At 46.5% G+C, this 18,753-nt stretch overlaps 1 protein-coding gene across 3 annotated transcripts, besides 6 other annotated features; it reads right to left on the minus strand.

Moving 5' to 3' along the window:
• Window positions 1-5,276: 5,276 nt before the first annotated feature.
• SKIDA1 (SKI/DACH domain containing 1) lies at window positions 5,277-17,484 on the minus strand. 3 transcript variants are annotated; one of them, NM_207371.4, is made up of 4 exons: window positions 17,349-17,484; window positions 15,485-15,673; window positions 13,191-13,282; window positions 5,277-11,460 (listed from the first exon to the last, which is right to left on the minus strand). In NM_207371.4, exon 4 carries the CDS (start codon window positions 9,622-9,624, stop codon window positions 6,898-6,900), a length of 2,727 nt encoding a protein of 908 aa, NP_997254.3. In that variant the 5' UTR covers window positions 9,625-11,460; window positions 13,191-13,282; window positions 15,485-15,673; window positions 17,349-17,484; the 3' UTR covers window positions 5,277-6,897. The 3 variants fall into 3 exon arrangements, with proteins under 3 accessions (NP_997254.3, XP_047281160.1, XP_047281161.1); XM_047425204.1 differs by lacking the exons at window positions 13,191-13,282; window positions 15,485-15,673; window positions 17,349-17,484 and having other exon boundaries at window positions 5,277-9,734; window positions 9,835-10,078; XM_047425205.1 differs by lacking the exons at window positions 13,191-13,282; window positions 15,485-15,673; window positions 17,349-17,484 and having other exon boundaries at window positions 5,277-9,737; window positions 9,835-10,078.
• Window positions 9,100-9,259: a silencer, noted in NCBI's record as "silent region_2189". NCBI's record gives its function as "represses an Ori minimal core promoter by ATAC-STARR-seq in GM12878 lymphoblastoid cells {active_cell/tissue: GM12878}" and the evidence as "EXISTENCE:reporter gene assay evidence [ECO:0000049][PMID:35858748]".
• Window positions 16,876-17,519: an enhancer, noted in NCBI's record as "NANOG-H3K27ac-H3K4me1 hESC enhancer chr10:21814003-21814646 (GRCh37/hg19 assembly coordinates)". NCBI's record gives its function as "activates a minimal SCP1, AML or CMV promoter by ChIP-STARR-seq in naive H9 embryonic stem cells {active_cell/tissue: H9 hESC(naive)}" and the evidence as "EXISTENCE:reporter gene assay evidence [ECO:0000049][PMID:30033119]".
• Window positions 17,520-18,163: an enhancer, noted in NCBI's record as "NANOG-H3K27ac-H3K4me1 hESC enhancer chr10:21814647-21815290 (GRCh37/hg19 assembly coordinates)". NCBI's record gives its function as "activates a minimal SCP1, AML or CMV promoter by ChIP-STARR-seq in naive H9 embryonic stem cells {active_cell/tissue: H9 hESC(naive)}" and the evidence as "EXISTENCE:reporter gene assay evidence [ECO:0000049][PMID:30033119]".
• Window positions 17,520-18,238: a biological region, named in NCBI's record as "NANOG-H3K27ac-H3K4me1 hESC enhancer GRCh37_chr10:21814647-21815290".
• Window positions 17,819-18,238: a silencer, noted in NCBI's record as "silent region_2190". NCBI's record gives its function as "represses an Ori minimal core promoter by ATAC-STARR-seq in GM12878 lymphoblastoid cells {active_cell/tissue: GM12878}" and the evidence as "EXISTENCE:reporter gene assay evidence [ECO:0000049][PMID:35858748]".
• Window positions 18,359-18,508: a silencer, noted in NCBI's record as "silent region_2191". NCBI's record gives its function as "represses an Ori minimal core promoter by ATAC-STARR-seq in GM12878 lymphoblastoid cells {active_cell/tissue: GM12878}" and the evidence as "EXISTENCE:reporter gene assay evidence [ECO:0000049][PMID:35858748]".

Genomic DNA, 18,753 nt, shown 5'->3' on the forward strand with positions numbered 1-18,753 from the left:
CCCGACCCACTGGGTCCTAAGTGCCGGGAAAGGCCGCAGGGCAGATGCTGGGGAGGCGCTCTCCGCTTGTCCTCTCCCGGCCTGCAGGACCCCAACGGGTTCTCTCCTCAAAGTTAATCCGAGGAATCCAGCGCCTGCCTGGTTTTGCCCATACCCTTCTCAGGTCCCAACTGGGAGGAAAGGGAACTGGAGGAGATGGGAAAAGGAGATAGGAATATTTTATCTTAAAGAAGACATTCTTTTTCCTTGTTCAACACACAAAACCAAAACCCCTTCCTCTTATTTCTCCCGTCTTCCGATTCCATTTTAGTTTCTAATGGAGACTGTGTGTGTGTGTGTGTGTGTGTGTGTGTGTGTGTGTGTGTGTGTGTGTAAGAGGGAGAGAGAGGGAGAAAAAGAGAGGGCGAGAGGGGGAAAAGAAACAGGGGGTTAGAGAAAGAAGAGAGAGATGGAGATCCCTTTAAACAAAAGACAAGAGGCCTGAGCTGGGGCCTGGAGCTGTCCCCGGAGCCTGCTCTGCCCCGCAGACCCTGCGGTCTCCAGGCCCGGTAGGCTTTTTCAGGTTCCGCAGGCCTGGCCGAACCGGCCAGATCCCGCGTTCCAAGCGTCTGGAGAACTGGAGACAAAGCCCAAGATCCAATCCCACCGCAGAGCGGCTCAAGCCGGCGCCCGGGACCCGCGGGCCTAGGCGCGACCCCCAGCAGCCTGTGACCGAAGAGGGGAGCCCGGGACCCCTCCGCCTCTCCGCAGCCCTCTCGGGCGGGGTCCCCCAGGCCCGCCCGGTTCCCCCTGCCGCACTCAGCCAGCTGCTTTTGGAGGCCTGCGAGTTCCAAACACGCCTTCCCATTAATTAAAACCTGGAAAGCCTGGCCACTTTCTTCTCAGGCCGAGGCAGCATCTCCAGAGGTCCCCGCGGCACTCTCGGCCGGCAACGGCTCCCGCGCGGGGCCTTGGAGGCCGAGCGGCCATTTACTGCCCTGTGATTGCGCCGAGGACCAGGTTAGCTCATAAAGCCTTTCACACTCAACAATGGGGATTTTCTCAACAATTAACAAGAAACAACATAATAAAGCCATTTACAAAGACCTTGCTATTTACTATAAATTAGGCACTCTTTAAGAGACCAGTGCGTAATTTCACACACTTTACAACTGGGGCTGCATTTTAAACACCCGGGAAAACAAGCTTGTTGCACTTTCCTGTGACCTAGCTGCGGTGCACCTCTGTTTCCCCTCTTCCCCGGTAGCAGCTTTGTTTGCATTGCTGCACTCCAACCTCCCCAACCGAGGGTGGCTTTCCAGGTCACTCTCTCACGTTTCCCGTTTCCAGGCCATCATTCCCCTTGCAGATGCACGGAGAGGTTCCCAGGGATGGGGACCACGCGCCAAACCCAGCCAGCCGGGCCTCATCCCATTCCTCCCACTGTGGGAGTTGCGCCCGGCCCTGCCTGCGCCCCCCGCGCCCTCCCCAACACCCAGGGCCTCTGGTCTTGAACCACTTCCCAGAAGGCGTTCGCGGCCACACTGGCCCAGGGGAAAGCCCCAACCCTTTGCCACTGGCGATCCACACGCGCCTTTTGGAGGCCTTGGCCAGCCCTCCGCCCAATGCGAAGAGCTGGGCCCCATTTGCCTGGGGAGCGGAGATGAGGCCTGGGCGAGAAGGTGAGAAACGGCGAGGCTGCGTGTGCGTGTGCCAGGGTGGGCGATGACTTCGGGACACACAAAAGGAGCGCCAAGTTGAGGGGAGGCGTTCCAGGCCCCGAGGGCCGGCCCCCGCGCGCCCTGCGCCCCCCGCTCGCCCCTGGCCTGGCCCCAAGGCCGACTGGCCGAGAGGCTGCTCGGGAGGTGCCGCGGCGCTGGCCCTGCCGCTCGCCCCGGGGGTCGACATCGTCACCCATTCAGAGGACAGCAAGATCTGGGCGGGAAAACAAAAGTCACAAAGAAATTTGTTTGCCACCATGCAAAATGGCGGCACTTAAACATCTTTCTTGTGGTGGTGGCCCGGCCCAGAGAGCCCGGAGCTGCCCTAGGTTTAGCGCGGTGCGCCCTAGAGCTCGGCGGCCTGGGGCAAGCGAGGGGGAAAGGGACCCTGAAACCCCTGCGGCCCCCAAGCCGGCCCTTAGCCCGCAGCCCATCGCGCGATCAGCCGGCCCCTGCCTTCCTTCCCAGCCCGCCAAGCCCCTAGCCCGCGCCAGCAGCCCCCGGCCACTGACCGCTGTTTACAAACACAGCCTGGGGGTGGGGTGGGCCGGCCGGAGCGCGGGCTGGCGGGGTGGGGGCGGCCGCGCGCCCCGGAGGACGCCACCAGCAGAGAGGAACGAGGAGTTGGTGCGAGAGAGCGGGCTCGGCAGCTGGAAAGGACTGAACGCCTTGTTTTTGAAACTGTCAATTCCCTCAACCCCTATTGTGAGGGCTTCATGCAAAACATCTCAGGCCTTTTAAAGTAGGAGCTTGTGAGGCCGCCACAGTTTGAAAAGAAGCGAGAGAGGAGCGGGGGCCCAGGGCATGGGCGAAGAATGATAGCTGGGCCCCCCTAAGCCCTCCCCACGTACTCTGTTTTTTTTTTTTTTTTTTTTTTTTTTTTTTTGCAAAGGAGGGCATGCCAAACAGGTAAAATGCAGCCCTCCCCCACCTCCTAGATCTGCCCTATGTCCCCATCCCCCAGGCTAGTTTGCAAAATGCCCTTTGGCCTAGGGAGCAAACCAAAACCAAAGCTAGCATCAAAAATAGTTTTTCCTTACAGGGAAGGGGAGAATCCTGGTATGATTGGGGTGACCGGGTGGACTCGCTAAGGTGGATGCCCTGTTCCTCCTTGCCAATTTCCTGAGGTTAGTTGATGGGAAGCATTTTTTTCCCCCTTTCCTAGTTTGGCTCTGGGAACTCCTTTTTACAACCTTCCCAGCAGGAAGTTATTTTTAAGGTGAAGCAAAACTCACCACATTTTCTTTATTTTTTAGATGCTAATGCTTATTAAAAAAAAAAAAAAAAAAACAACTTTACCATGAAGGATTTTTGTTTTTGCTCTTTGAAAGAAAAAAAATGCTTTTGAGGAATTAGTTTCTACATCTCTTCCTGCATGCAAACAAAACTGTCATTTTCATATCAGCAGAAACTCCCAATTCTTGTTGATTAGAACTTTGAGGAATTTCTAGACCATTGAAAGTCGCCCAGACACAGAAAAGATAAAAATCCAACACCAGCCCCATGTAGTTTGTGTTATTGTTGTTTAGTGGTGGCTCCTTGTTGATTTTCAAATAAACAACCATTATTGAGATTACTCCACTGTAATCAAGTAAGCCAGTAGAAAAGAACACCCACTTTAAAAAGTAAATAGTGGAAAAAGAGCAAGCTGCATTTTCTATAAAGGCGGATAACCTGACTGTGGAAGACAGAGTACACACACCTCTTAAAAAAATATTTAAATTTTCATTTCACAGTCTTATCAGGAAATTACTTTTATAGGAGACCAAAAATAAGTTTGTTAACCCAAAAAGTTAGAAAAAGAGCCTTTTCCTGCTTTTTTTCCTCATGTCTGTAAATGTTGGACTTTAGACACAGGAATCAGTCACCCTGGAGTCATATAGTGCTTGTTTTTTTGTTTGTTTTTAATTCTATGCCCTGAAAACATCTAAATGTAAAAATGTAATCTATCAATGGAGGTAACTTGTTTTTTTCTCAATAAGGCTTAACTTTCTGAACAAATGGGACATTTATAGCAGCTTAGAAAAGTCTAGATATTGTCATTAATCATAAAACAACCAAAATAATATAAACAGTACTGAGAATAATTCCCATATCAGAATGGGGAAACAACTAAGGGGCTAGCAGGAATTGAAAGAATACCTTGTATTTGCAAGTTACTGCATACTATTTGGTACACTTTCCTTACAGAAGCCCTAACTCAGGTTTTGCTGTGGTTGGCTGGCTTATGGTAGTACTGTGGGGTGAAATTTGTGTTGACTATTTAATTTCTTTCCTTTTGATGGTATCACTCTGGAAAGCCTCGGCCTCCATGCTGTTCATTCTCCAGCTCCTATAAACTGAAACTATTGATTCTCTGAGGGTTAGAGACTAAGTGTCAAAGCTGGAGGCCAATATTTTATGTCAGAAATTCCACAGGGTATATTTGTTTTAAATTGTGCTTATTCCATCTTACAGTCCTTCCACATCCAAGATCTGTAGACTTCAAATTTATTCTCACTTTATAATTTAGGAACAATGAGTCCTTAGCCAACAAGAGAAGTACTAGTCTGCGTGTAGTAGTCACCGTACTTTGAACTTTCTTAACTTAGAAGTAATTAAAGAGTAGAAATTACACTCTTCCAATGTGTGTGTCACACTTTTTACAGATTGATTTTTCAGGACAACTTACTGCACCTAAATTCTGTATTGCTTTCCAAAGAGGAAAGAACTGAGATTATGAAGCCAATTGTTTAGCTTTCTGGGGCTTTAACTATAACATGGACTGGTCTTTGGAATTATATACAAACAAGAATTCAAGGATACCATCCCCAAATTTTCACTTTGACCATATCTACCATTCCAATAAAAAAGAATCCAGTGAACCTACACCTGGCATGGCAACATTCAAGAAGGAAAGGAAGGAAGGTAGTTGAAAGCATCTGTTTACTCCATCCAAATGTATTTGGATGCAGGTATTCTCAGCCTCGGTCCTTTACAATAAGAGGAAAACCACAGAGCATATTCAGCAATTAGGGGCTGAGGCCATCCAGATCTAACTGAAACATTTATAGACAAAAGGAAAATTTCAAAGGGAATAGGAACTAAAAGGTTAAGGAAAAACAAAAACAATAGACTGAATTTCCATGAGAAATAGTGACTTAAATTCACACAGTAAACATTTCATTGGTGTTTTGTTTTGTTTTGTGATTTATGATCTATAGATGCAACTTCTTAGATTCAAGATAGCAAGGATCTGAGATACATAATTTGTCAGACTAAAGGAGGTGGGCCAGAAATTATTAGATTCAACTTTCATTAAAAAAATCACTGATCTCTGCTTCACTTTCTTAAGCCTGAAACTTTTCCTACTTGATGTGTAACAAGTTTGTAAAGTTTTGTTCTTGCTTGGAAAGAAATCCACCAGTGTTCTGCACAGAACCTGACTGGCCTCGTCACATAGTATTACAACAAAACACTACACCCAATAAATGCATTTCTTTCAGGCAAAAACATTACAAGTGAAAATGTCAACAAAACCATTCAATCCTGTTAACCGTTCTTCAATCTGGAATAAGTAGAAATGTATGGAACCAGGAATTTTAAACAGTGTTTTTAATTGAAAATAAAGCTAAAGCATGCTTTTCAACAGTGCAAATTTCCATAATTTTGATTTACTGCTTCCATCATCACAACACAGTACACCAGCATGGCCCTTACCCAGGGCTAGACCCTAGCATTTGCATGTTGAACTACTTTGATTTTAAGTGCAAATATAGATAGTCACCTCTGATTGTCACTTGCAGTAGAAACTCTCCTGCTCTATACACAGGATGGTCTGAAAACACAAGTTTTAGAGAGATGCAGAAAAAGTATAAGGTCATAAAATCCAAGTGCCTGAGTTCTGGTACCAAAAAGCCCTGAAAAAACTGTTATTTTTCATTTGGGGTATTGCAACTCTGACCCCTCATTTTCTTTTTCTTGGTTGTATTTACTGATTTGTCACTATCAAGAGTTCGGCCATGAAATATTCTGCTATTACGAGAAATATTTCAGCCCGGGCATGGTGGATCACACCTTTAATCCCAGCACTTTGGGAGGCCGAGACAGGCGGATCACCTGAGGTCAGGAGTTCGGGACCAGCCTGGTCAACATGGTGAAACCCCGTCTCTACTAAAAATACAAAAATTAGCCGGACATGGTGGCACGCGCCCGTAATCCCAGCTACTCAGGAGGCTGAGGCAGCAGAATCGTTTGAACCCAGGAGGTGGAGGTTGCAGTGAGCCAAGATTGTGCCACTGCACTCCAGCCTGGGCGACACAGCGAGACTCTCTCCAAAAAAAAAAAAAAAAAAAAAAAGAAATATTTCAATTGTTTTGGGAGTTTGAAGAGTCATGTTCAGACCACAAGATAAGCAGGACAATAGTAAGAGTCACCTTATTTAAAACCTTTGGGTGAGAACACAAAACAGACTTTTCCTGTTGCAAAGGAGTGGCTTTAAAAGTAAAATCACACCCTTTACAAAAAAAATACAATTCCGTATTTATTTTACTCAGTATGTATGAGGCAGCTTTTACTAGCATTTAATCAGGACTCACACCCCAATCTTTCCACTAAAAAAAAAAAAAAAAAGTTAAGTGCAACTACTCTTGGAGAGGGAATAAGGGGAGTCAAAAGAAAAAGATACCCCACAAACAAGAGCTCCAGAAAATAACATTTTGGGCTCACAGAAACTTCTTGCTACCTCACCTCACCTCACTGTGTAACCATGTAACCTAACAAACTTTCACTGAATTAACAGTTACACTTTCAGCTCTGAAATCTAGTGCATAAACTTAATGGCTCATTGTAATATTTATTATTCAACCTTTTGACATTTATTTGTAGCAGTTGAATTGAGGTACCGGGTGCATTATTAGCATCGAAACAGTAAAGTGTTCCAGCTCTACCGTAATAACTGAGTTTTACTTGAGTCTTTAGCCTGAAGTAGTCTGTGGAATGTAAACCAACCCTTCTCCCACCCCGCCCCCACCCTACTCCAGAAAAAAAAAAAAAAACCCGCAACGGAAAAAAAGTAATCCGATTTCTGTCTTCAAAATGCGATAAACCAGGACTCCAAAGGGGGTGTAACACATTAATGGACTTGTACAAACCATCCTGTGCAGTTTACAACAAAAGGAAGGTAATATGGTTCAAGAAAATATCTTCCAAAACATTTTTATGAATTAAATTTCCTGAATTTGTGACTAGGTGGAAGAGGTATTGCAGAACCGCCCAGCTGCCATTTCCATATAGGATGGGCCTTGTGAGGAGTTTGAGAATCCTTAGTGGTGTTTAAGGAATACGCCGGCCACAAATCCCCATCTCTCCCAATAATGAGTGATGGTGGACAAGGAAAATTTGCCATGAAATGAAATGGCCTTTTCACTGCTGATGCTACATTGCTGGCTACCTTTTTGCGTCTGTTTATAACTGTAAAATCATCCAGTGTTCCTTCATTTGTCTCAGTTTTACCTGTAGGACGAGGGCTTCTAGCTGATTTCAAATTTGGTTTGACTGGAGGTGTCTGAAGGACAGGTCGCTTTCCCAGTACTAGTGTCCGGTAATTTTTTCTCACCCTGGCACCAAATTTATATTCCCCATCCTCAGGTTTTGGAGAACCTAAAGTGCATGAAAGGCCCTGACTTTGAGCCAGTGGATTTAAGGAAGGAGTTTCTTTTTCAGGGCATGCAAAACCTTCCTTGGCTGTGGTTAACAAGGCGTCCTCCTCTTTACTCTCAGTCACACTGTAAAACTCACCCTTTGTATCATTGCACTCGCACTTTAGCTTATTTGTAAAAAGGTGAGGTTCATATTCTTCATTAGCACTACTGTCTTCTACTTTGATTTTAATATTGTGCAGAAATGGCAATGTCTTGTCGCCTGTGTCAGTGCAGGGATTCTCGGCTTTAGTTGCTGCTGCTCCTGCAGCGTTCACTTCAGGATCAGTCTGCGAAGAGGGCAAATCCGTAGCAAATTCAGGACAATGAAGGATTTTGGAATATTTTTCTGAATTTGCTTCTGCTCCTGAAGAATCATTATTTAAGAACCTAGCAGCTATTGTGTTGTTATCTGCACAGTGTGTAGTAGGAGTTGTTTGTAGGCATTTCCTAGCCTCTCGGAGTATTCTTTGTTGTGGAAATGCATTGTTTGTCTTTGGGCTAGGTGAAGAGGCCCCCTCTGCCAGGCAGTTAATTGTCAGGTCAGTTCTCTTTACAGCATTGGAAATTTCAGAGTGTGGGAATGTAATCTCAGATACCCTATCGTTCCTTATCTCAGCGAAACAACTCCCCAGGCTGGCCGGGCAGTACACCGGAGATGCTTTGGGGGCCCAGCTCTGCAGATTCCACTCCGCCGGCGACTCCGCTTTGACACTACTCTTGAGGTCGGGAAGTCTGCCGGCATCCTCGAAAGCAGCGGGTTTGGTTGCAGCGGCGGCGGAGGCCAGATGGTACAAGAAGTTGGCCTGCGCCTGCACGCTGGGAGGCTTGCAGAAGCTGGTGCGCCTGAATCGGATGCTCTGCACTGACACTTGGCTGGAGCCGGAGCTGGAGTCCGACTCGGTGGACGAGTCCTCCTCCTCCGAGCTGACTTCACTGGAATCCGAGGCCCCGCTGCCCCCCTCCTCCTCCTCTTCCTCCTCCTCCTCCTCTCCCTCCTCCTCCTCTTCCTCTGAGGACACAGAATTGCTGGAGCTGGACAAACTGGAGCCAAAATCCGAGTCGTTGGCCGCGTGGTCCGAGTAGGAGCTGGACTCGGAGTCGCTGCTGCAGCTCTCGGGAAAGCTGCCCAGATGGGGCTGCGGCCGGTGGTGGTGAGGGGGGTGGTGACTCTGCTGCGGCGGCTGGGCCCGGTGGTGGTGGTGGTGGTGGTGATGGTGGTGGTGGTGGTGGTGGTGCGGAGGCGGGCAGAAGCCGTTGACCAGATGAAACCTCTCCAGGCAAGTGGCCCCCGCGGCGGCCGCCGCCGCCGCTGCCGCCGCCGCCGCCGCCGCCGCCGCCTTGGCTTTGTAGGACCTGGGCAACAGCAGCAGGCGCCGCGCGCCGGCGTGAGGCGCGAGCAGGCAGTCCTTGGCGCCGCCGCGCTTGCGCTTGCAGCGGTAGCTCAGGCTCCCCGGGCCTCCGGCGCCCGCCGCTGCCTTGGGCTGGGGCCCGGCCGCCGATACCTGGTAATAGGCGGCGGCGGCGGCGGCGGCGGCGGCGGCAGCAGCGGCGGCGGCGGCGGCGGCGGCGGCTGCCGGGTGTTTGCTGCACAGCAGGCTCCGAAAATAAGCAGGGTCCGAGGGGAAGGCGACGTAGTTTCCCTGGAGCGGGGCAGTTTCATAGTTTAGAGGGGGTTTGCACGGCGAGCGCACGATCTCCGGGTAGTGCGAGCCGGGGTATTTGCTAAAAATCTGAGGTAGATGGGCGGCGGGGCGCGCGGCGGCGGCGCCCGGGCGCTGGGACTGCGCGCTGATTGGCAGGGGCCGCGCGGCTCCGCTCAGGCCCCGCCAAAGTTGGTGCTTGTCCTTCCAAAATCCCGGGCGGGGGCTGGCGGCAGCGGCGCGCTCTGGCGGCGGCGCCTTTGTGGCCAGGGCCCGGCCGACCCGCCTGCGCTTGGTCTTGAGGACGCGCTCGGTTTTGCAGGAGGTGTAGAGCGCTTCCACGTCTTCCCGGGAGATGAGCGTGCATTTGGCGGCGTGGAAGGCGATGCTGTTAATTGCCTTGAGTTTCCGCAACTCCTCCAGATCGCAGTGGTGCTTCTTCACTTTCAGATGATCCATGCGCTTGTGCACGGTCGTCCTCGGGATGTTTTTCAGCAGATCTGTGAAGACTTGGGAGAGGGCAAACATTTGCTTCCCTTTAATGATGAGGTAGCCGAGCCTCACGCCATCCACCTCTTCAAAACCTGACTTCAGGTCTCCCATCTCGGGCACTAAATGATCCCCACCATTTGCAGTAAATATATACGTGACGCATACATACACATGTATGTATGTTAATCCTCAGCCAGATGCTGCGTGTGTCTCAAGGCATCCTGCTAATAAAATAACAAAGACTGTTATTCCCGGCGAAGGAAGTGCCAAACTCTAGGCGAAATTATTGGGGGGGGGGAAACCCCATGAAATTACACTGACTTGATTCTTGCTTTTTTGTTGTTGTTGTTTTCGTTTTTTTAAAAAAGAGGGAAAAAACCATCCGGTTTCTGATCTGCCAGTGTGTTGGTCTGAGTCCCCGATGCAGATCAGTACCTGGGCCCCTCTATTCCTTCCTTCTCCATTGGAGCACTATGATAATGGAATGTGAAGGGAGAAAGAGAAAAGAAATGCAGCTGCTATTCCCGCCGCTGCTTTAGCTACAAATAAAATGACAGAGTGAAGTGAGCTCGTCCGGAGACACCTTCATCAATTAATTCCCCTAAAGCCAGCGCTGATTGGACACTCCTGACAGGTGATGCAATAAAAATTGATATTCCACCCCTTCCCCCCAAAATCTCCCACTAATTAGCATACCCTTATACTGCCACCTCCCCTCCCAAAGTAAATAATACAGTCGGTATATAAATCTTTCCATTAAACTATCGGAGCTCAGAAACAGCCTGACTCACAGACTTCATCAGAAGCAGTGTGTGTACGCTTAAGGGAGAAAAAAAAAAAAACCGCACCGTATATTCGCCTTTAAAGAAATACTGCCTATTTTTTTCGTTTATTTGCATTTTACCGATACAGCTATTATCATTTCAAAGAAAAGCATTTAAAAAACATTATCAAGCCGAAAGAGAGATACCCCACCCCCTTTTCCTTTTGGAAAATGGAGCTTAAGGGAAAATGTGCAGAATAGCCTGGTATTTCCCTTACAGGAGTGGGGAAGGAGACCGGCTGGGAGCTCCAAAGTTAAACCCGCCCCGTGAACCACCCCAGTGCGGACTTACGTTTGGAATTTCTCTCGATTTTCCTTTTTTTTTTTTTTTTTTCCTGAAATGCCTTTTTACAACCAGAAACAAAGTTATTTGACCAAGGAAGCAGTTCAAGGCTCCAGCTCCGAAACACTGTAACAATTCAACTGGATTTCGGTTCTCTGCTGGGGGGTGGGGTGGGGAGGAGGTAGTTTCACGTCAGACCCATAACAAAGCATAGATAAGCCAGAAATGTGTACACTTTTCCACAATTAACCGTACTGGATTGGAGGCGGGATCGTCCAAGAGTCCCCAGCAAAGCCTTTGCCAGGGTCCTGTTCACCACAGGTCAGAATTCCAGGGAGCAGATTGCTTCCTTCTGCAGCAAAGAAAAGAAACTGTCAAACGCCCAAGGTGCTTCCAGAGGTTTTACGTAATAACAATGAAAAGAAAGTGCTGATGTACGATGCAGACTGTTTCAGTGGTTTGTGATGCTTTTGGTTGGTAGTTTAGGTAAATCTTCCACAACTCCCAGTTTTTCCATCAAAGTCAAGCATCTGCTTTAACAAAATCACTTTGGATGAAAATCAATGTGGTTTAACCTCTTCTTAGTCAAATTAAGGCAAATTTTGGTGTCGTTTTCAAGGATATCCAAAATATTGCCAAATGAGAGCAAGGGTCCTCCCAGTCGCATTACCACGATCCCAAGGCGGCTCCTTGGCTGCTTTGCAAAATTCGGCAAAATCTTCTTAACTGTTCAGTGTTTGCAACTACAACATAAATGCAACCCAGGCATTTATGTGTTTCCTTGTTCCTCCAAAAATAGACACATCCGCGTGATTAAAAGAATAAACGGATATTTCTGAGCCTGCAAGAAAAAAATTATACAGTAATTTCTTTTTTCACATTCAAAAGTCCCAGCTTCCCCTGCTCTGGTCTGGATGGCACGAGCAGGTATGGCTCAAAAAAGAAAACAAAGATAAAAACTGAGGAATCAGACATACAAAAAGGTAGTTTGCCTGACAAGATGAAATCTCGGCCATAATTCCCCACCCCCACCCTCATCTCCTTTGTAATTTCCCAGGAATTTTGAAAAGAATTGGGAATTTCAAGAAGTGCATCCGGAAATTAAGGAAGTCTATTTAAGAGAGTCTGTAACTCAGGAGGTTGGGATTTGAAAAGTCAGCCCCTGAACTACTGTTGCACTCAGCACAGATGTAATCGCCGCTCTTCAACTTAATCAATGTATGTACAAACCGCGATGTCTAGTTCTTGCCTTTGAAATCTAAGGCTAGCATTTCCATCCAAGAAATCAGAGCTACAGCAAATTACATTTTTGTCCCTTGAATGAAAGAAGGATCATTGAATGGATCTCGTGATATTTCAGGCTTTAAACGTAACCGAGAGGCAGCAATGAACAATGCCTCGTCACAGCTAATACCATCCAGCGAGTTGGCTTTCTTTTGCATCTGGATCTATTACACCGTGTTTTTCTCTTTCACTTTCACAGGAGACAAAATGCACAAGGTTTAGGCAGAAAGCGAAGTTTCCAGGAAAAGCAGATGCTGGTGTTTGTTTTTAAAAGTAGAATGACCAGAGTCTTTCTATTGCCAGCAACAATAATGTCGTTTTAAAATTCCTTCTGATGCACTTATATAGTACTGCCAGCCCTCGCCCTCCCACCCCCACCCCCGCCATTCCCCTCCCCCAGCTTTAAGAATTAGACCAAAGAGTCAGCCAAGAAATAGTAAACTCAGAAAAAGCTTTTGAGAAGACAGTACAAAAGGTTGGCTAGAGCATCCTTTTTTTTTTTTCTCCAGGTAGTTTTAGTTGTTCTCCATTCCTGTTTATATTTCCTCTCTCTCTCTCTCTCTCCTAGTCCTCCTACACATAGCAACATGATTTAGTAGCTATTTCAAAACTACCTTCTTTTCCTCTCTCTTCCTCTCTTTCCACCTTTAAAATATTGGCAATATAGGTGGTTTTGAAAACTAGTAGCATATTAAGTTATTTTTTTTTAACTAAGGGCATAATCTGTTGGGTGAAATAGAGAAAAATAAAGGCTAGGGAATTTGAGAAATGTGTCTATATAGACTTTGTGCAAGTATCTCTATATGTACACTCAGACACCTTTACACTTATACATTTTTAATACTACTATTACACATCTTTCTTCGTGTCTAATACATTCTTTTGTTCCTTTAACTTCCCCATCCTTGTGTGTATGTGTGTGTTAGGCTCCAGCACTCTTGCTTGAATGAGTGCATGCACACACACACACACACACACACACACACAAACACAGAATGTGACAGACAGCTTTCTTGGGCCATCAGCACACGTTGCATATCCGGGGTCTTCTCCAGGCACATTGGGGGTCGATCCCGATAAAAAGATCTAGCAGAGGCCCCTGAGCGCTCACACATGAAAGGCAGGGGACTTTAAGATGGATTTGCATGCACACCGGGGATTTCGATCAATAGCTACCAACATTTATGGCTTAGATTATTAATGTGAAAGCTGGCCAAAAGAATGGGGATGAAAAATTAAAGGTGTCTGTTATCAATTATGCTTAAAGTTATGCAATAATTTACTTACTTTGCCTGATGTGCAGATCCAGATGTATAAAGTACTATTCTTCAAAAGCCAGGGGGTTTCTTTGATAAATTTGTTGACCATGTCAGCTGACTCTACAATCAAAGATGAACCCAATTCAGATAATGGACTGTATTCAAATTTTTTTAAGAAAAGATATATCAACTTCTATGTTTCTCAAATGCAAGTACATATGTAGATAGATATGTCCAAATTAACATTTATATATATATATCCTTCTCTGTGGGTCCAGGAAATTATTGTGAATTTAGGCACATGTATGATATGCATTGAGTTTAATTAAATGTGATTATTTACTCAGTGAGGAATGCCTAATCTACACACTATTGTAAAAAGTGCTTTAGCTTTGAAAACAAAGCTGCTTGCAAAAGGAAAATCCTCTTTAGCAAATAGAGATTGAAATATATTCCTAATGTCCACTTACTTCTGCATTTATTGTAAAAAATCAGCACTTTCAGTTTTTAAAGTGAAGGGCCATGAAAATATGAACATATTTGTCTTTACTTATCCCATATGAATGTGCTAGATTTACCTTTAGATGCTCTATTTTGATTTATTTTCACTGTATTTTATGTTTCAATACCATTGCAATTCAGTCTGACCTCTTTCCTCTGGAGCGAAGTAATGCACACGGCATTTACAGTCTTTTAAATGGTTAGCTGGGAAATGCAATAGCAATTTGCAGGAGTAGTTTACTAATGGGGAAAGTTCTTTTGAAAACCTGAAGGAAAACCTAAGAGTACTTTTGCATTTCTACACTACAACTGTCATATAATTAAAGTATTGAAGAGCATTAAAATAATCCTTTTCCTTCCAAGCTTTCACCCATACATACATAATTTAAATGAGGATCACAGCCACCCCCCCCCCCCCCCCCCCCCCCCCGCCACCAGCTCTTCACCATATACGTTTGTTTTAGTGATTGCTGGGCACATTTTGTTCAAAGTGAATTCAGACAGAAAAGAGTAAGGAACATCACAAAGGCCTCAACAATGTAAGTATGCTGGTTAAAAGAATAAAAGCCCCTTGTGCTATTAACTAAAAGTAACTATAATATTCACAAGATAAAAGTTTAAAATAATAATAAAGTCTCATATGGCTGAATTAGTTGAGGATATAAGACAATAAAATCTCAACAGTTCTTTAGCTAAGTTTATCTAATATCACATCTTCTCTGCTTTTTGGGATGGGAAAATGGGAATGAAGGAGTAGAAAATGGCTAAATTGAGAAACAAATGATAACTTAGTATATTTCCTTTAATTTTTTTTCTTTCTGGTTCATTTGAACAAATCAGGGTAAGTCTCCAAAAGGGCCCATCCCTCTGTTCTTAGGCATTTAAAAACCCTGTCTTTAACAGAAGTTTGGGACACAGGGTATATGCCATGTTGTCTACTGACCCATAATCAAAATGCAGTGACCTTCTACCCTTTTTTTGCCCCCTGACCCATCTTGAATTCAATGCAGCCTTTATAAATTTGCAAATCCTTGGAGGTAAAGGGGTTTTTGTGAGGCTTTGTTCTGAAAAAGCCCTAAGAGTGTGCTTTCTAAATTAGACAAAGGTAAAGCAACAAATCCTAGTGGATGAGATTTTACACAGGTGAGCAATAGGCACCTCCAGATAACATATATTGCAAGCTAAAAACCAGTTATAAACATAGGAGACAAGGAGGTTATAGATTGCATCAAATTAGAGTGAGGTACAAATCACTTTCATGATGTAAGAAACGGCTAGGCCACAATCTTCCTGCTCTTCTCATCTCAAGGGCTGTGGGGGACCCTAGTGACCAAGGAAGGAATGGGGTGGGGGGAAGGGGGCAGGGAGGAAAAGAAAGGAGTGAGACTTGATCTGAATCTGTGGGCACATTCCCTTATCTTTCCTGCTATCAGCCAGTTTAAAGGACACCATAATTATGATGGTGATAAAACAATGCCTGCTTATGTGTGCTGAATAAATAAAGAATGTTTACAGCTCAAGAATCTTTTAATTCCAATTAAATGCTATCAAAGAAAAGCCACTTTTCCTACTGCAACCGCCTTTCCCCCCAATTATCTTGTTTTGTTGTAATATTTTCCTATGAGACACATGGGCCTTTCACAATTGATCCTGAATGCAAAAGAAAAAAAATCAGAGAAAGTAGAGTTTGACCTTCAGATATTAAATAATACACAAATATCCAGAACCACAATTTGTTAGGGTTGCCCAAGTTTTTGTTTATTTTACACAAGGGCCAAACATATAGAGACTGAAGTGGTGACACCAAGTGTTGAGGCCTACCTATGGGCTGCTCAGCCATACTGAAATCCTGAGCCACCACGAGGGGAGAGAGGAGAGACAAGACATGAGGAGCCTGATGGTCTCTGGAAAGGGAATCCTCTTCTGGTTCTGTTCCCCTGGCTTCAGCCCAAATCCTTCTGGGAGCACTGGAGCCAATCACTGTCTTTCACTGCTGCAGCTACTGGGAACCTACAAAAAAGCGGGAGATAAAAAAAAAAAAAAAAAAATCACAAGTTCGAATTTATGGATACACAAGTATCATTTCATATTCATGACATCAGCAAATCACATCATAATCAGATTTGAGCAAGGTTTGGACACTAAGACCCAAAAGACTGGACACTCAACACTGACAGTATCACATATTAACCAGAAAATTCGCTTTTTTGTTATGGAATCATAGGGTGAAAATTAAGTCTTTTAACTTTGAAAAGCTTACTTTTCACTTCTGAGGCCAATTTTTACACTAATAAATTTCAAGTAAACGTCTCTTTTAAAGTTGTTCCACAACATTTTAATTCAAACTTCTATTTCCTTTCTCAGTTGGGGTAGTGTTTTGTTTGTGTTTTAAAAAAACACATGGCACAACAAACGTTATGGAAAACGCACTCATTCCGTTAAATGCCGATACAAACCTGCCTTTTACTACATCTGTCTAAGCAGCGCATTGCTAAGTATAAACTTAAAAAAATTTTTTTTTCTCAAAGACATATCTATTATTTCTTGGCAAATACTATTTGGTGATGTGGTGCAAAAACACAATGGTAAAAAATTTCGGGGTATTTGTAAGTTTTCTGGAGAGTTGCAGGCCCCTTTCCTTTTGAAAGTTTAGAGCTCCAATACCCTCAATTCTACTGGCAGAATTAGGATGGACTTAGAGGGTCCTAAACGTGACCGATTCACTAAGGCGGGGGGGGGGGGGGGCTACAGCTTGCAGCAACGTGCTCTGCAACTTAATCCTACGCTAAAAGAGGGCAGAGAGCGAAAAAGAATGGAATACAAACTCTCCCGACATCCGTAGTTACTTTCAAGGTGGATTGTGTATTTTAAGGCTGATGGGAACGTCTGGTTTGTGGAGCAAAAAGAAGAGAAGGTAAGTGTTTGTCCTTGTATCCACCAGTTCGTAGAGAAACAATGAAAGAACAAAGGGAACCACTTCCCCATCTGAACATTTTCTGTATCTCCCTCCGTTTCAAGCCAAAAAGCTTGGGAAGGGATTCGCTTTACTCTACCTTAAGTAGTGGTTGCTGGCTTGTTGAACTAAGAATGAGAAAAAAGTTGAGAGGCAGATATAGACTAAATAATAATAAAAAAGGCTTGCTGTGGCGGATCTCCACCGCGCCAGTGTCAGCAACTTGCAGCAGAAGTTGCTCAATGCACGGAGGCAAAGCCCAAGAAATACCCTTTGCACACCAGATTTCGAACTCAGTCATTTAAATAGACTTTCTTGCTGTTTGAAGGGGTTTCTGCGCACAAAATGTGTAGGTAGTGGCTATGGGAGAGATGTACTATTTAGGTCGAAAAATGATCTCATGGCTATCTGGAAAAGAATTTTTAAAAAGGAAAGGGGATTCAAGTATCACGTTACTGTTTGCTAATAGAAGAAATGGCAGCACTGGCTGGGAAAGGAGAGGGATTCGTATTGAAATGCATTTGCTTTGGGGTACGCTGGTTATCCGCAAGTCTGGCTTTGTGGGTCTGCGTGGCTGAATAAGTGACCAAGTGCCTTCGGCATTATATAAACGGATCGATGTGTGCGGGAGTCCCCAAAGCCGTCGAGCACGTGAAACGCGACTTTTTACTGCCCTCCAAGCGGCGACCAAGCCCCGCTCCACCCCACCCCGCCTCAAAATCCGTATATTACCTGCCCTGTTACAGTGACACATGTTTATGTTTATAGTCCTGGTTTGTAGTAGTGTCAAGAACCGCAGCAAGAGGAAGGGGAGGAGAGAGGAGAGGGAGGAGTAAATTCAACCACCCCCACTTGTTGTTAAAGCAAATTTACTGCGTTATTGCAAGCTCAGGACGGGGGGCTGGGATGAGAGTTGAGAGGAAGGGTTGAGTTGGGAAGTGTGTTGGCGGTGGAAGGTGGGGGTGGGGTTAAGAGCTCCGCAATGGAGCTCCTCTCCCCAGCAGCCCAGGAAAAGCAGCTCGGTCAATAGGGGAGCATGCTGGCGCGGTCGAAAACAAAAAGGTTCCTCCTGCTCGCTGCGTTCACGTGGGGGGCTCTGCACGCGGGGCTCCAGGGCCGTGACCCCTGACCCCGGCTCCTCTCCGCGCTCTCCGGTGCCGCGCGGCCACTTTTTACCCAGGATCCCTCGCGCGGGCCGCGCTCGTGCCGAGCTGGAGTCCTTCCTAATCCTCCATTCCCGGCTCTCGCTCCCCGCCCCCGCCGCCAGCCCCGGGGGAGGATTCTCCGGCGGGGAACCCCCGCCCCACCCCCACCCCGACTGCCCCGGCGGAGTCGGCCGCAGCGAGTCCGCGCGGGGCGGGGAGGGCCGGGCCGGGCCTCCCCTACCGCGCCGGGCCTGCGAGGGAGGGGAGGGACGGGGAGCCGAGGGGAGGGGGCGCCGGCCTCCCGGCTCAGCTGCCCCACTGAGGCCTGGACCTGTTGACTGCGATTGGCCCGCCTCATCCCGCGCCCTCTCTCTGCTCGCAGCGGCCCCAGCCCTTCCGCGGCGTCGCGGGGAGGAAATGGGGATGGCTGTCCTCCTCTCCGCCTCCTTCTAACTTTCCTTTTTTTATTTGGGTGTGTTGGGGGGGGTGCTGAGAAAGCCCAGGCAACTCCACCGCCGCCCCATCCTGCCTCCGAAAGTCTCGTCACGCCCGACCCGCCGCCGCCCTCCCAGCCCCCATGACTTAAAACCGCCTCCCCTCCTCGCAGCGGCGCCCCGGCCCGGAGCCCGAGAGCCCTCGACGCCCCCGCCGCGCCTCCCCCGCCTGGCCTGGCCCAGCGGCGTCCCCAGCGAATTGTGTCGCTTTTCTGCCCTGGAAGCTCCCTCGGCCACGTTCCACTTTTTTTCCCAGTCCCAGGAGGCGTAAGATAAAACCTCTGATTTGCTGCGTGCTGCCGGGCACATTCTCTGCCCTCTCGTCCGAAGGACGAGTTTAAAATGGAGAGTTTAAAATAATAGCATTTACAGGAGGAAATAAAGAGCGAGGAGATGGTTCTTTGGCCGGTTTTAAGACATACATGCTTTTTTTTTCTTTTAATACAAGATGTCTTAAGGGTTAAAAGCGTTCTAGGGTTTGCTGTATTTCCTTCTAGA

Source organism: Homo sapiens, chromosome 10 (assembly GCF_000001405.40).
Source record: "Homo sapiens chromosome 10, GRCh38.p14 Primary Assembly".
Taxonomy (NCBI): Eukaryota; Metazoa; Chordata; class Mammalia; order Primates; family Hominidae; genus Homo; species Homo sapiens.

What these genes read in the sequence shown, in the direction of transcription:
- SKIDA1 (NM_207371.4), bottom strand. Translation starts at nt 9,624, where the DNA reads ATGGGAGACCTGAAGTCAGGTTTTGAAGAGGTGGATGGCGTGAGGCTC.